We start from the raw sequence: 15780 nt of genomic DNA, 5'->3' as shown, positions 1-15780 counted from the left end.
CCTGCCTCAGTCCAATGAGTCACTTAACCACAGTTTATTTTAAAACAAACTTTGACTGCCAAGTTATATTTAAAAGCTATCAAATCACAACAGAATTGCTATGAGAGTTTTCTGTTTTGTATCTTTAATTTCAGTAAAACACAAATCAGTTCAAGATGGATCACGGGTCTAAATGTAAAAGCTAAAACCGTAACGCTTTAGAAACAAAACTTAAGAGTATCTTCATGACTTCCAGGTAGCAAAGGTTTCTCAGGACATAGCAAAAACCACAAAAGAAGAAAGTGGATAAATTAGGCTTCACCAAAATTAAAAACTTCTACTCATAAAAGGCATCAGAAAAACAGGTAAGCCACAGGAGGAAATACATTTACAAAACATGTATCTGACAAAGGACTGGTATCTAGGGTACATGAAGAATTTGTACAACTCAAAAATAAAAGCAAACAACAAAAATGAGTAAATGACTTGGACACTTTGAAAAAGATACATGAAAGGCCAATAAACACATGAACAAGTGTTTAATATGAATTGTCAGAGAAATGCAAATTAAAACCACAACACTCTACCACTACACACCCACCAGAAAGCTGGCAGGGATGTGGAGGAACTAGACTCTTACATTCTTGCTGGGAGTACAGAATAGCACAGTTGCCAAATAGCTTTGGGAAAAGGTCCGGCAGTTAGTTATAAAATGAAATGATTACTTACTCCATGACCCAGCTATTCCACTCTTAGGTATTTATTTATTCAAGAGAAATGAAAATATGTGTCTACAAAAAAAAGGTACATACTAGAATGTTTATGGCAGCTTTATTCATAATAGCTGGAAAACAGGTGTTCATTATTAGGAGTACGGATAAACAAACACTAGATTCATTCAATGGAATACTATCCAGCAATATAAAAGAACCAACCACTGATATATAGGACAATATGGATGGATCTCAAAAAATCTGTGATGAACAAAAGAAGCCAGATATCAAAGAGTGCATACCACAAGATTCCATATAGATAAGGCCGCACAGGCATAGCTCATCTCTGGTAGAAGAACACATGACAGAGGTGTGGTGTGCGGTGGGTGGGGGTGGGAAAGAAGGGGAGGGGTTGACTGCAGAAGGGCTTCAGGGAACTTTCTGGAGTGATGATAATGTTCTAAATTTTGATAGCAGTTTTATTTAAACAAGCACAGCTGTTTGTCAAAAATCATTAAATGGTATAATTAGGATTTATGTAAATTTTACATCAAAAGAAAAAACTGCAAACATTGAGTTCTAGTTAATGTTATGCATGCTGAAGTATTTACGGGGAAACATACTTATATACAACTTATTTTGAAATGCATCTAAAAATAAGACAGATTGATGGGTGGATAGAGGACTGATAAATGGATGAATATGTAATAAAGCATGTAGAGTAAACTATTAATATTAGAATTTAGTATATATAGTATATACTTAGTATACATACTATAGAGTAGAATATATAGTGTACATGTACACTATATAGAATATATACTGTATATATACACTATATAGAATATATAGCATACATATATATATATATATATATATAGATATATGTATACACACACATATAATGTGTGTATATATACATAGGTGTTCCCTGTAAAAAATCTCCAATTTTCCTGTCTGTTTGAAAATTTTCATAAGTTAAGGAAGTAATACTAGTAAAAATCCCTTAGGGTCAAGGATTCAAGTAACTAGCCATATCTAACGTGAACCACCACATCTATCTACTTCATGGAGGGCTTGCCACTGAGAAACTTGTCACAGCCAAATAATTACCAAGTTAGGTCTCTATGTAGGCTTAAGGAGATCCTTTTCAAAGCCCAAAGTACAAAATGAGAATCACTGATGAAAGTGTTCCTGCTCTAAAGCAGTTAAAAGATGTGGAGGGCAGCAGCTGGGAAAATTTCCAACTTCAAAAGTGATCACAACCCACACCAGAAGAACACTTCTAATTGAAAGCAGAAAATCTGCACTTCTAAAAAAATGTGCTTATTCACTCACAGTAGATCCCCATCCTAGGCAAACACCAATCTAGGCAGCCCTGAAATCTGAAAATGTTAACTACAATCTCTTTCCCAACAATATAGATCAGCCAAGGAGTGCTTTTTGGTACATTCATTCCATGAGGCCAGGAAGGTTCAGGAATTTTCAGACCTCATCATCTTTTTAACTGCCTTCACATTCTGAGTTACTTGCTAGGTCCTGCTGCTGGTACAGAAGAGGGCTGGGAACAGGCCACAGTGGGACACCATTCAGAGGAAACACACCTAGTGTCCCTACAGCTGCTCAACACTGGTCACCTTGAGTCTGACCCTAGGTGCCTTCTAAATGCTCAGATTTAATTTTACATGTCGTTTTAAAAACCTTCCTTGAATATTTCATACAAATATATAAGTACCAGAAATTCAAAAAGGGCCTAAAGATACCCAGACAGGCGTTCCTTGGCTGAAATAAACACATATAATAACACAAACATCCTATAGCCTTAACAAAAGAAAAAATTATATCAGAAATTTAAAATTTGATTAAATACTTTCTTTGGAAATAACCACATGCCTGCTTTTACTGTTTTTACTTTCCAGGGCCTATTTTGTGTTTGGGCATGCAATCTTTCCCAGATTTCCACATGTCTAAAAGTGATTTTTGTTGGAAGACAGGGAAATACTTAGTTAATATGTACTTAGGACTATAAATGGGTTGCAGTTAAAGTGATGCTATAACTTGAAAACTATCTGACTTTCATAGACGGCCCAGATAAGTGGTAGTTTCTTTTAGGAAAGAACTAATAGCCACAATAAACACATGGTCTAGGATGGTGTAGAGGGGGTGAAAGAAAGGAAGCAAAAGAATGTGAGGAAGCTCTAAGTTAAGTTCAAACAGAAAATAATCACTACAAAACATTTTTGAAATGGTGAGATTTCTTTTAGATACTCTCAACTTTTCAGTTTATAAAAGCAAAGTGAAAAACATCTCAAAATCTATTAGGAAAGCTTATATTAGTAGTTATCAGTTAACCCCATTTTTGTTTACTTCCAAGTTCTTAATTCTATGATTCAACAAATATGCAACAGACACTTATTAGACTCTGGGGATACAATGTTGATAAGCTCCCTGTTTAATGGAGTTTAGGTTATTAGAGTGACTGATAATAAACAAATTACCACGTAAGTATATGTAGTATTATAAGCTCATTAAATGCTATAAAGGAAAGATACATGATGTCTTGGGGGAGTTTAGTCTCCCAAGCAAGGCTAGGGAAACTTTTCTGAGGGCTGAGGATGGGGCTGAGGTCAGAAAGGTAGGACAGATTTAACAAGGGACGAGTCAGAGTCAAACTCATCACTGCCAGCATCACTGAAATCTGGATGAAATTTAACATCCAGGATTAGAGCATTTCTGTGAACATTTAGTCTGGGACTCACGGAGCTCTTGGAATGGGGTTGTTTTCTGGAAAAGAGAATCCATGTGTTGGTGAGCCTTACCTAAGCAAAACGTCTCCTAGCAAAGACTTCAGAGCTCTGCTAAAACGTGGCTAAGTCGGGAGCAAAATATAGATTTTATTGGCAGTGGATGGTATAATTACCATTGTGAAGATGAAGCATATACTTCTCTAATCTCTGGTTTTGGAAATGTTGACAAAATCCAGTCAGAATTGCAGTAAACTCAAAGCCTTTGAAAGGCAAGAATTTCCAAGATGATTATTATTTCAGATCTACTTCCAGAATACATTAATTTGTTTCACTATTCATTTTATTCCATGGCATCACAAACATCTGCTGAAAATAACCTGCTGTCTCCATCTCTGAAATATGCCAGCTGAAAAGTAAAAGACTCTCCTTTTACATTTGAGGCTCATATTCAAGAGCAAAGCATAATCTAGATAGAAGAATCAAATCTAAAATTAGGCCAAATCAGAACTCTACCTACCAATCTAAGCAAACACTTGATGTGCTTTTTCTGTTTTCAGAGACACATATTTAGGAAAACATTAAGGAAAATAATATAAAGAGGACACAAAAGCAATGAAAAAAGTTATTGCTAAGAGAAATTTAGAAACCATCTCTTCAGAGGCCTTCAAGTAGGATGTAGAGCTGGGCCCATAGCAGTCTGGATGGCTGGTAGTTGGTGGCAGAGCTGAAACTACAATACAGGGCTTCTGCCTGGTTCCCTGGTGCTGTCCTATGACAAACAGGCCTTCCTGCCCATCATTCTCACAAGGGCCTCCCTAATCTGATATGAACTAATAAGTTAACTGCCCTTCCCAACTTGGCTACCTTAATTGTCCCCAGAGGACAACTCTGCCAGGATATTTCAGCATCATTTAATAAACTGTCTAGATACTTTCAGTATACTACACTACATGCACCCTCATGATTTAGAAAAGAATAAAAAAATCACCTTTCATAACTGGATTGTCAAAGCTAAATTTACTCACTACATAAACAGACCTATTTTATATTCATGGCATTTTATATAAGTATTTTACAACAAATAATTAAACATCAAAGAAGTTTACGAACCAGCTTCATTTGCTAGCATTTGTAAACATACATATTTTTGTTCTATAGTTTCATGCATGTAAAAACAATGCTAATTGTAAACTGGACCCAGTACAGCTTCTGATGTCCTAATTAAGAGGTACAAATGCTAATTACAAATCACTTTATCTAGTTATTAAAACTTAAGTGTCAGTTATGTATTTCAGCCAACCCCATGAAACCAAGTAAAATTCACCAACATATTAAAAGCAAGTTAAAAGTTAAGGTCACACTTAACTTTTCCATACAATTTCAAAAAGAATTAAAATCAATTAAAATTACCTAGTTGAACTAGGTATGTACATTCTTTGAGTACTATTATGAATCTCAAGAGTCCAAGTCAATTGAATCAATAAAGGAGAGACCAAGACAGGAAATTTGATTCAAGTTCTAATTCATAAAATGTCTCTATTTCTTACATGAATAAAATTGATTTGATAATAGTTACTAACCCAATTACAGGAAAGCACAGGTAGAGACCATCTACTAGTCAATTATAAAGTCTGAATACATTCATAAAACAAATGTATTATGCTATTATCACTGCAGCCATTGTTTAAATGCAGTTATTTGGTACTCCAAGCTTCTGAAGATTTAAAAAATAATTTTGTGCCATCAAAACTGGGTTGCATCTAGAGATCTTGAAATAATTACAAAATCATAATAGGACTACACAATGAAAATTCCAATATGTTGTGTTATATCTTGTATTCGACTGCAAGTTATGACAGTGAAGCGCAAAGCTTTCACAAATCGGCTTTAAATAATAATTTTAAAAAGTCTATTCTGATTAATACAGACAGCTAAAACATCCTTAAGCATGCAATCACTTGAATATTTTGCAAGATATTTTCAGGAGTACCAAGAACTCAATATACCATCTTCATTCAGAAACAAAATTAAACGTCTGCCTCAACCTTTAAAGCTCGATTACAAGGCAAAGTGGAAATTTCAAATTCAAATGATAAGTATTTCAAAATGAGTCTTTATCAGTCCTTTGGTAAAACAAACAAGCAAATGTCATGTAAAAAACTCTTAAAGGATAATGCTCATTCATCATTACTTAAAATTTTTAGAATCACATTTTTCATATGCATGGCAAATTTCTCAGCCAAAGAATTATGAAAAACATTAGAACTTAGATCCAAAGCTTGCTATGTCTTCAAAGTAGCTGTTTTCCTTTTTAATTTTTTGATATGCCACTGTAAGATTGAAGTCTCCTGCCTTTCAATAAATATTAAATATCAATTTCCTAGTTTGGCTCATTCTTGAGAATCAAGTATTAGAGTCAGTCCAGGGGAGAACATATTTTGTTTGAAAAATGAGACCACATGCTTCAGTTGTCTACCACTGTTGGTGGTGTTTTACAACGTAGAGAGATAAATTCAATCTATACTCACCAATCGTGTGTAACATATCTGTGGGTTGGAATTCAGTTACAGTAGCCTTAGAAGAGTTCATGAAATTACATTTTCAAGAAACTTAAAAACTTTAAAAATTCTGCATGAAGTCAAACAGAGCTCTTGGCTGCACACTGTAATCTGACACTAGGCTGAAGAAACTGACCAAGTTTAAGTAACCCAAGAGGAACTGTTTCCTGCTTTCTGTTAGAACAGTCTGCAATGACCTATAGTAACACTGCTGAGGCAGAGGTTACTATCGGGCATTAGATGCTGCTATCAGGAAGTCAGTCACTCGGGTAGGGTGGTTTCTTTTTTTTTTTTTTTTTTTCCTGGGGTAGCACTTATCTCAAGTGTTTGTAAGAATTCAACCCTGCTCACCCATCAAGTTTATAAAGACAAGAAAAACTAAAAGAAGGATTGGAAAATGCACTCAGACCAAGTAGGTAGCTCCCCCTCCACCTCAACAAAAGGACCTGCATGGAAAACCTAAGTTAAGATGGAACTCCGCATCAAAACAAACTTGCCTGTGAGTATCTCTGGGAAGGTGCAGCGGCCCTTCTAAAGGGAACCAAAGGTCAATTTGACATTGGTTTATTTTAGCTCACTTTACCTAGTCTGCTCCTGTAAGATGAGATGAGGCTCCACGAAGAACTTGACTCTAAGTTTAAGCCTGTAAGGGGCTAGCCCATCCATCTGCTGGGAGATCCGGTTTCTCAGGTTTAGCCATAAACTTTCACCTTTGCTACCCGTAAACTGCAGTCCAAAATAGTCAACTTCTATGATTCCCAGTCGCCTGCACACCTAAAACAAAAAGGAATGCAGCCTGGATGAGCAAATGGTACGTATCAAAGCAAACCCAACGGCTCCCTGAGGCTAAGATTGCTGGTGCTTTTTACAAAGTTCAATGGTGTTACAATTCCTGATCTAAACTGGAAAAACAAAGTTCCACGGCTCCAATGATACCAAACCACGAGCTCTAGTATGGAGGCTCATAATTCCTTTTAACGTCTAGGGCATGACCAATTGCAATAGAGAAAAAAGGAGTCCTCAAAAGTAGCCTTCCAAAAGATGAGGAGGGGAAACTACAGGGTATTTTCCTTCGTATTCCAATCACCGGAATTCCCTCCACCAGCATACTCTGCACAGCTGATTTTTGGCGACTTATTATCTGGGCAATTTTAACCATTTGGACTCCAAAAATCAAACACATTGAGGGAACACGCCACAAGTGTCAGCTAAGCTTCACAAGCGGTTTTCCAAACATCTCAGAGCTAGAGGGGTTGAGGGCACAGCGTTTTCCTGGGATCACATGTGCTGTCTGCCATACCACCTCTGCACTATTTGGCACCGATCTCCCTCACTGTTAAGGAAACACATGCTTAAAAACAACCGAGCAGTAGATGACCCAAACCTATTCCTCCCGTCCCCCGCAAACCCGGAGATGCAGGTGAACGGTGCATTTGAGAGCAGCAGCCTGAGAAGCAGCGTGAGACAAGGGCCCGGCTTGTCTGCCAAGAACCCCTGGGGCCCGAGACTGCTTCGAGCCACTCCATCCCATCCTGGCACGCGGGTGGCACTGCCAGGCGCCGCGGGGACCCGACAGGCGGCATCACGCACATACCTGCGGCAGGTGTGCGGAGCCGCCTTCTTCCGGGAAAGTGCTGGGTTGGGGGGATGATGGGGCGCTGGGGGGTGGATCCCGGCTGCGGGCTGCGCCCGGCCCTCAGCGCTGGGGACCCCCGCTGCGCGCTTTCTCCGCGCACCCCACGCGCGCCAGGAGGAGACCGCGCGCCCCACGCCCGTGGAGAGGAGGGGACGCGCTCCCCCCGGCTGCCGCCGCAGTGCCTCCCGGCCCCTAGTAGGGGGCGCGCCAGAGTGCCAGGCGTCGCTGCGAGGCCCCTCGGCCTCGCGGGACCCGCCGGGGCCCCTTCTTGCCCCTCGCCCTCACCTGGTTGAGGCAGTCCTCGCCGTTGGCTTTCGCCTCCACCTCCACCTCCATCAGCACCGCGTCCGGCCTCGTCACATAACACAGCATGGCTGGGGCTGCCGCTGCCGCCACAGCCGCCTTCTCTTTGGTGTGCGCGGGGCTGCCGCCTTGTCACTGGTGGGACCCAGCCCCGGACTCGGAGAGGGCTGGCCCTCGAAGGCTGCAGCTCTGCGGACCCTTGTCCGGGGCCCCGCGGCCGCCACTCGCGTCCCCGCCACCCCCTCACCCGCTGCCCGCCAGCTGCCCCTGTCCTCCGCGGTGGCGCCGCACTCCAGCAGCCCAACTGCCTGCGCTGCGACAGGGACTCTGCTGATATAGCGGCCCCGCCCCCTTCAGCTCGGGTCCCCGCCAATCACGGCCTCCCTGCCCCTCCTCCCCCGCCCGATCAGCCAATAGCGGCGCCCCTCGACCGCGGCCCCCGCCTCCCAGAGCCGGCTGAGTTTCCCTGGCCGCCCCGGGAGGTGGCAGCTTGCGGGCGCCGAGTGCTGCGGGAAGGGAGGGAGACCCCGGAACACACCAGCCGCCTCTGTCCGCTGGGCGACGCTGCTCAGAGTGAGCGATCGCCCGGGGCTCCAGGCGGGGACGCCTTTCTGCCGTCTCGAATTTACGGTGATTAAACACCTCCAAGCTGCCACTGTTCTTCAAATATCTTGGATCACTCTGAGCACGCATTTCGGTTGTGAAAGCAAAAAGGAAAAGGAGCAACCCAAAGCCTAAAGAAAACTGTTCTCGTCCGGGCATGGTGGCTCACGCCTGTAATCCCAGCACTTTGGGAGGCCGAGATGGGTGGATCACCTGAGGTCAGATTCGAGACCAGCCTGGCAAACATGGTGAAACCCCCGTCTCTACTAAAAATACAAAAAAAAAAACAAAATAGCCAGGCGTGGTGGCGGGCACCTGTAATCCCAGCTACCTGGGAGGCTGAGGCAGGAGAATCGCTTGAACCCAGGAGGCGGAGGTTGCAGTGAGCTGAGATTGTGTCACTGCACTGTAGCTTGGGCAAGAAGAGCAAAAAACCCTGTCTCAAAAAAAAAAAAAAAAAAAAAAAAAAAAAGAAAAGAAAAAGAAAAAAGAAAAAAAAAAGAGAAAAAGAAAACTCTTTTCCACCAGGATTAGCCACAGTGGGTTGCTTGGAGGCAGAATTGTTGTTCCTTATTAAGACCTCATCATTGAGAAAAACAAAATCTGAGTATGAAAGTTTTTGCAGCTGACCAGTGAGCCAGGTGTCTTGGTCTAGTGCTGGTGTGTTACACTCCGGAAGGGCTTCTCCTTACTCGTTCTGCTGAATCAAAACGCCTTACAGGGTACCAGGCCCTCTCTCAGGTTGCTCATTCTACCTCCTGTCTTATCTCACTCATTCATTAAACATTTGTGCAGCACCTGATACCCTGCCTGTCCCTTCTCACAGGCAACCAGATGTTGTCCTCGTCTTAAGGTAAGGTGCTCATCTCCTGACCTAACAGGTGGCATTACTGCAATATTAGCTATTAAAGGTCTACAACCCTTCACTCATTTACCGCTTGTTCCTCTTTGCCAATATATTACATAGCCTACCTTTTTGATTTCTTTATAGGAGCCAGATGATGTGGGTTTCAGCCGTGGAAACTTAGCAAACTTACTTCAGGCCAGCTCGATGGCTCACACCTGTAATCCCAGCACTTTTGGAGGCCGAGGCAGGAGGATCGCCTGAGCCCAGCAGTTTGAGACCAGCCCGGTTTCGCAACACAGCGAAACCCCATCTCTACACAAAATACAAAAAATTAGCCAGGCGTGGTGGCGCCTGCCTGTAGTCTCAGCTACATGGGAGGCTGAGGTGGGAGGATCACTTGAGCCTGGGAGTTCGAGGCTGCAGTGTGCTGTGATCCCCCTACTGCACTCCAGCCTAGGCGACAGAGCAAAAGACCCTGTCTCTAAACAACAACAACAACAAAAAGAAAACAACGAAAGAAAAAAAAAGAGAAAACTTACTTCATCTGTCTGAAGCTTGGTGTTGTCAACAGTAAAATGGAGATGGCAATATCTGCTCTGTCTCCACCCAGCATTGTTGGGAAGCGCAGCAAAGATAATAACGTTCACAAAAGCATTTGAATGTCCCCGTGTATGTAAGGGGAGCTATAAGTTCAGTGCCTTCACTGCTTAATGATGACTTTTCCTGTCCCTACCCCCCTTCACGAGTCCCAAGGATCTGTTAGTGGCCTTTATTTCCGAACAACCAGGTACGATATCAGAGCCCAAGGCTAAAAAAAAAGGAGGGATCCTCCCACACACAGTTCTTTGCTAAAGCTGACCGAGTAAAACTGTAAACTGTCCAAGTCCTAACCCCCACTGTTGCAGAGGAACAGGTGCACTCTCACATCTTTCTGTCTTATAAATACACCTCATGCTATTGTGGGCTGAAACAGTCCCTTCTTGTATTAACTGCAGTGCCTATTCCCTGAATTCCAGTTTACTAATAATCTGGGGAATTTATCTGGAAGATAGCGTTTGGTTCATTCCTTGTCTACTTTATGCTTAATTGCTAGAAGTTTCAGAAGAGGAAGAAGAGGCGAGGGGCAATAGGGAGACCAGTTATATTGGTTAGTATTTTTGTTTATGAACAATAGAAACTAAAGCTGGCTAACTGGAAACTCATAGAATCAATGGGACCAGGTGTGGAAATGAGTAGAACGGGAAAATATTGGTTGGCCAAGAAAAAAAAAATAAACAAAAATAAAACAAGCAAACACCCAAACCAAATACCCACTTTGTGGACTACTTTAAAAATAACTTATATTTTTGGTTTTAGCAGGGATTTTTCTTTTGCAAGTATGATTTCATTGTTTTTTTAAAAAATCTAAGCTTGTAAAATAGTTTGTAGAAGCATAGGTAAAATCTGACATGTTTATTTTATTTAAAACTTTTTGGCCAGGCGTGGTGGCTCATGCCTGTCATCCCAGAGCCCTGGGAGGCCGAGGCAGGCAGATCCCTTGAGCCCAGGAGTTTGAGATCAGCCTGAGCAAAATGGCAAAACCCCATCTCTACTAAAAATATAAAAAATTAGCCAGGCATGATGGCATGTGTCTGTAGTCCCAGATACTCAGCGTGCTGAGGTGGGAGGATGGCTTGAGTCCAGAAAGTCCAGGCTTCAGTCAATCATGATCTCACCACTGCACTCCAGCTTGGCCGAAGGGAGTGAGACCCTTTCTCAAACAAAACAAAAAACAAACAAAACCCCACATTTTTCATAGTTTTGTTGTTGTTGTTGTTGTTGTTTAGACAGAGTTTTGTTCTTGTTGCCCAGGCTGGAGTGCAATGGCATGATCTTGGCTCACTGTAGCCTCCGACTCCCTGGTTCAAGCAATTCTCCTACCTTAGCCTCCCGAGTAGCTGGGATTATAGGCACGCGCCCCCACACCCGGCTAATTTTTTGCTTTTTTAGTAGAGACAGGGTTTTGCTATGTTGGTCAGGCTGGTCTCGAACTCCTGACCTCAAGTGATCTGCCCGCCTTGGCCTCCCAAAGTGCTGGGATTACAAGTGTGAGCCACCGCCCCGACCTATTTTTAACAATTGTCATTTGCACAATAGTTGGAAGTAGAAGATTTACAAGAATTTTTTTTTTTTAATTTTTTTTCAGAGACAGAGTCTTGCTCTGTTGCCAGACTAGAGGGCAGGCAGTGATGTGAAAATAGCTCACTGCGGCCTTGAACTCCTGGGCTCAAGCAGTCTTCCCGCATCAGCCTCCAGCGTAGCTGGGACCACAAGCAGGTGCCACGACACCCAGTTAATTTTTGTATTTTTTTGTAGAGATGGGTGTCTCGCTATGTTGCTCAGGTTGGTCTCAAACTCCCGGGCTCAAGCGACCCTCCTGCCTCTGCCTCCCAAAGAGTTGGGATTACAGGTGTGAGCCACTGTGCTCGTGACAGGGATATTTCTAATCCAAACCCAGATAGTGCTTCTGCTATAGGATGGTTGGTGAAGATTTCAATTGTTTTGAAATTAAGAATCCCCAGATAAGACTGAAGAGAAGGATTTCTTAAAACAAAAACAAAGCTAAAAATAGGAAAATGGCACTTGGGGGTGGGAGGGGCGGGCAGTAAGAAATCCTTATGACTGGGAAGCAAAAAAAAAAAAAAAAAAAAATACTGGCTTCCCACTAGCATGTATGGAATATACTGGACCATGACCCCTCTCTCTCCTCGCTTTCTCTCTCTGTCTTTTCTCTCCATCTCTGTTTTGTAATTTATTCCTTGAGTAGAGCTAAGGAGAGACTGGTTAGTTACAGAATGAGGAGGCTGAGTGAGCTGGTGAGAAAGCACATTATGCTCAAAAGACCTGGTTAGGGAATAGAAAACCCGCAGTAGAATTACTTCCTCGAGGATTCCACCATCTGCTAATGCTGCTGAATGTCTGGAGCCAGTTTCAAGCCCCAGCTGGGTCTAACTCCAAATAAGAGACTCTGAACACCCAGGGTGGGAACTATATTAGATTGAGCAGTGATTGAAGCCAGAGAGATGCCCAAGTTATCTGTGTCTGCTCTCTTTTTCTCTCAATTAGCTCTCATCTTTTAAAGATAGCATTAAAATTAACCAGCATAGTGGAAAAAAAAAGGTCAGCTGTATGAATATAGAATTTAAAAATAGAAACCATAACTAGGCGGTAGAGTTGGCTAACCCAGTGGAGTTCTAGCTGTTCAGACACACCCAAGCACCACAGATTTTCTCTGTCTCACATACTAGGGCTCAAGACTGAGCACTAGATGGTATTTGTGTGGATGTGATGATCATTTGGCTGCAAAATCTTCCTTCTAATTGAGCACTGGGTCTGATCTGGATGGCTGGGTACCTATCTCTGTGCATTGCATTCTCAACACTGCGTGCACTGCTGCAGAAACCCTATGCTGGGTCTCCAGAGAAGGACAGCCTTCATCACCTGCCACACCCTTCTCTCTGCCTCTCAACGTTCATTTGTAGAAGCACTGAGGGAAGAACAATTAGTGACTGCCTAAGAAAACCGTCATTTTGCTTTCACACATTATTCAAGCTAATGGTTCACATAAGTAACACTTCATCAAGCACAAGTATGTTAGAATATGTCAAATGAGCTGAAATCTCTCATTTGAAATATTAGGCTTGTGAAATTCAGGAGTAGTTTAATTTGATCCTGGCCTACCATCAAACCAGAACATCTCATTTCTGAAACTGGCTGTTTGAAGAGAAAAAGAAGGAATGAAGCAGGAATAGGCAGCACTCATGTTAAAAACTCTGGGAGATCTGAAACGGCATTGTTTTAATTAGCAGGCAGTTAAAAAAATTCTAGTTATGAGAGTTACTGTTCATTGCAGAATACTTGGAAAAGACAGAAAAGTATAAGGCAAAAAATGAAGTACCTATAATTTTATCAGACATTTCTATTTAGTATTGATGTTTCACTGTTATATTTTGCATATGATGGGCTCTAAATATTGACCATGTTATAATCAAATACTGCATGTTAATTTCCAGAAATATATTAAGAGAGCAAGAGAGACTTGGATGCAGAGTTCCAAATCTACACCTGGTATTATGACTATTAGGAAAGTTATAACCAGAAAGAACAACAACCACACAAAAATAATTCCAACTGTTACTGTTTCTCAGTTCTCTTCTTTTCTTCTCTGGACTACTAACCTTTCTTACGTTTGTCTTCTTTCTCACTACTAAGATGCCCCGAAAGGTCACATTTTGTGATATACTTACTTGTTCAGCATACGTCACTTCATTGAGAGATGCTCAGAGCTGGGAGAAAATTTCCAACTTGGTACATTTTGTTTAACAACAATGTTTTTGATGCCTATCTTTTACTTATGGAAATGATCAATAGGCATGTGTTTTTGAGTTACTTATCAAGGGTAGTGATACATAGGTGCTGATCCACACACAGCAGAGTTCACCATCATTCTAGTTTTGAATGAGGTTGGGGACTCACTGATGCTAGGGATGCAGTTGGAAGCCACAGAATAGAGAATAGACAACCAACCTGCCTGAGGCTCCAACTCAAGCCTGAACCTCAGTTGATGAGTTAACAGGTTTTTCCAAGGTTAACATTAATAGATATGCATTTGAACTTGTCCACGATATAGAAAATGCATTGAGATGTGAAACGTGTGAGAGTACACAAAAATTTCTGTCTTCCTGAATGAAATTAAAAACCAGATCTTCCAAGGTGGGAGATAAGAGGTAAACATTCCATGTAGTTTGGGCAGCTGGACATTTCACCTTTCTCTAGAATTACTCTCTTGGAATTACTATTTAATACTATTGCCTCTGCACTGGCCTTGTGGGGTGGGTGGGGAGGGTAGTTTCTACTTTCTTTAAAACTCAGACCCAAGTGAGATACCTGAGGTCTTTCCCACCTTACTCTGTCAAGAGCTAAGACTAAGGAATTACCAAGGGCAACTACACAAAAACTAGGTAGGTCAATGAGAGATTTGGTTTGTTCTCTGGGCTTCAAGGTACCTATCTGCCTCAACTCCTAGTGGGCACCGACTTTACACCAACCACTGAGGAGCACATGCTTGGACTCCTGTTCTCCAGCAAATCTGAACCCAAGAAAGAGCAGAATCTCTTGCTTTTGGCAACCTGAGAAATATCCACAGCCTGTACCTAATCTTTGCTGTGTTCCTGAGCTCTGAGAACAGAAATGTCTGTTTTAGAGGGAAGCATAGTACTGAGGTCTGGACATCAGTGTAGGTAGGGAGGAACCAGTCTGCTTCTCCTTACCCTGGAATGCCTATGGCTTCCCATGCAATCTTGTCCATGAATTCTGAACCAGGTGAGAGAAGAGGGGAGGAGTGGAGAAACAGAGGAAAACATTTGATAGAGGGTGCTAGATATGAATAGCCATTGAGAGATTGCCAGGAAGATAGGAGACCTTCATTTTCAAATCATTTTTAAATAATCAGAATTTCAGAGAACACAGCAAGGACACAACATTGAATAACTGAAGGAGGGTGAGGTTTGCATACCAAGTGCTATAAACTATGCCAATGTCAGTAGCAGTAAAAAAGCTGGGCAGAGACAATGTAACTGAACTTTAATGAGAAGATGCCTCATCCTAAAACACTCATAGTTTTTATCTTGTTTTCTATCTTGATCAAAAGCTTGTCACTTTCACAACATACATCACTGGTTGATTTAGCATACCCTTGGTATATCTATAACATTTCTAACAGTTGTTGCTTTTTCTCTGGAAAGTTGGGGCTACCAATGGCAGATGTAAGGAAGACAAACACCAAATCTCTTGATCTTGGGGTCTAATTTAGATGGAAAGACTTGTAACACAAAGTTTTAATTCACTTTTTCGTAATAAATTATGTCAAATACATACTCATGAAATCAAGATTCCACCCGGGTGTATATCACTGTTCTTGTCATGATAAAGATATTTTGATTTATCATAGATGTCCAAGGAAGGTCTTAGATACAGGATTGTGATAGATTAAAAATAAGCATCACTTACATTTCTAGGCATTTGGAGAAAAACCAAATCCTCCTCTCCCTTTTTAAGCTCCACTTTAGTCAATAAGAGGTCTTTCTCAGATTGTAGTTGTTTTTAACCAGCTTCAAATATATATTTTAAAAATCTCATCTAGCTGTGAAAATGTTTTCTTGAAAAATGGCAAGCCAAAAATGGTATATATATGCAAAGTATAAAAAGAGATAACGAGGCAAAAATACTTAGAAAAGTGATATTCAAATGTACAGTGGAAGAAAAGTGATATTCAAATGTACAGTGGAAAAATGATATGATTCCTTTAAATTGCTTGCCTATGTTACCTTTGTCATCCATTTGACATCCTGCTGTG

The 15780-nt window shown here is 41.5% G+C and overlaps 1 protein-coding gene across 21 annotated transcripts in view, besides 2 other annotated features; it reads right to left on the bottom strand.

Moving 5' to 3' along the window:
* The window catches only part of MYLIP (myosin regulatory light chain interacting protein), a 34802-nt gene extending 26560 nt beyond the window's left edge, over positions 1-8242 (bottom strand). For 20 of the 21 annotated variants that reach the window (XR_007059254.1, XR_007059255.1, XR_007059257.1 and 17 more), the window contains exons 1-2: positions 7919-8242; positions 6581-6771 (exon numbers count right to left, since the gene is read on the bottom strand). Coding sequence is in view for 4 of the 21 variants with exons in the window: in XM_017010789.2 (XP_016866278.1) it covers positions 6581-6771; positions 7919-8005 (278 nt within the window). In the remaining 17 variants the exon portion in view is untranslated. The remainder of the gene's footprint in view (positions 1-6580; positions 6772-7918) is intronic. The other variant, XM_005249033.4, reaches the window with a different exon arrangement.
* Positions 4126-4285: an enhancer, noted in NCBI's record as "active region_24096". NCBI's record gives its function as "activates an Ori minimal core promoter by ATAC-STARR-seq in GM12878 lymphoblastoid cells {active_cell/tissue: GM12878}" and the evidence as "EXISTENCE:reporter gene assay evidence [ECO:0000049][PMID:35858748]".
* Positions 7561-8560: a silencer, noted in NCBI's record as "silent region_16955". NCBI's record gives its function as "represses an Ori minimal core promoter by ATAC-STARR-seq in GM12878 lymphoblastoid cells {active_cell/tissue: GM12878}" and the evidence as "EXISTENCE:reporter gene assay evidence [ECO:0000049][PMID:35858748]".

This window comes from Homo sapiens, chromosome 6 (genome assembly GCF_000001405.40).
Source record: "Homo sapiens chromosome 6, GRCh38.p14 Primary Assembly".
In the NCBI taxonomy this organism is placed as follows: domain Eukaryota; kingdom Metazoa; phylum Chordata; class Mammalia; order Primates; family Hominidae; genus Homo; species Homo sapiens.
Note: the sequence above shows the minus strand (reverse complement) of the source record. Positions and strands in the feature narration are given on the sequence as shown.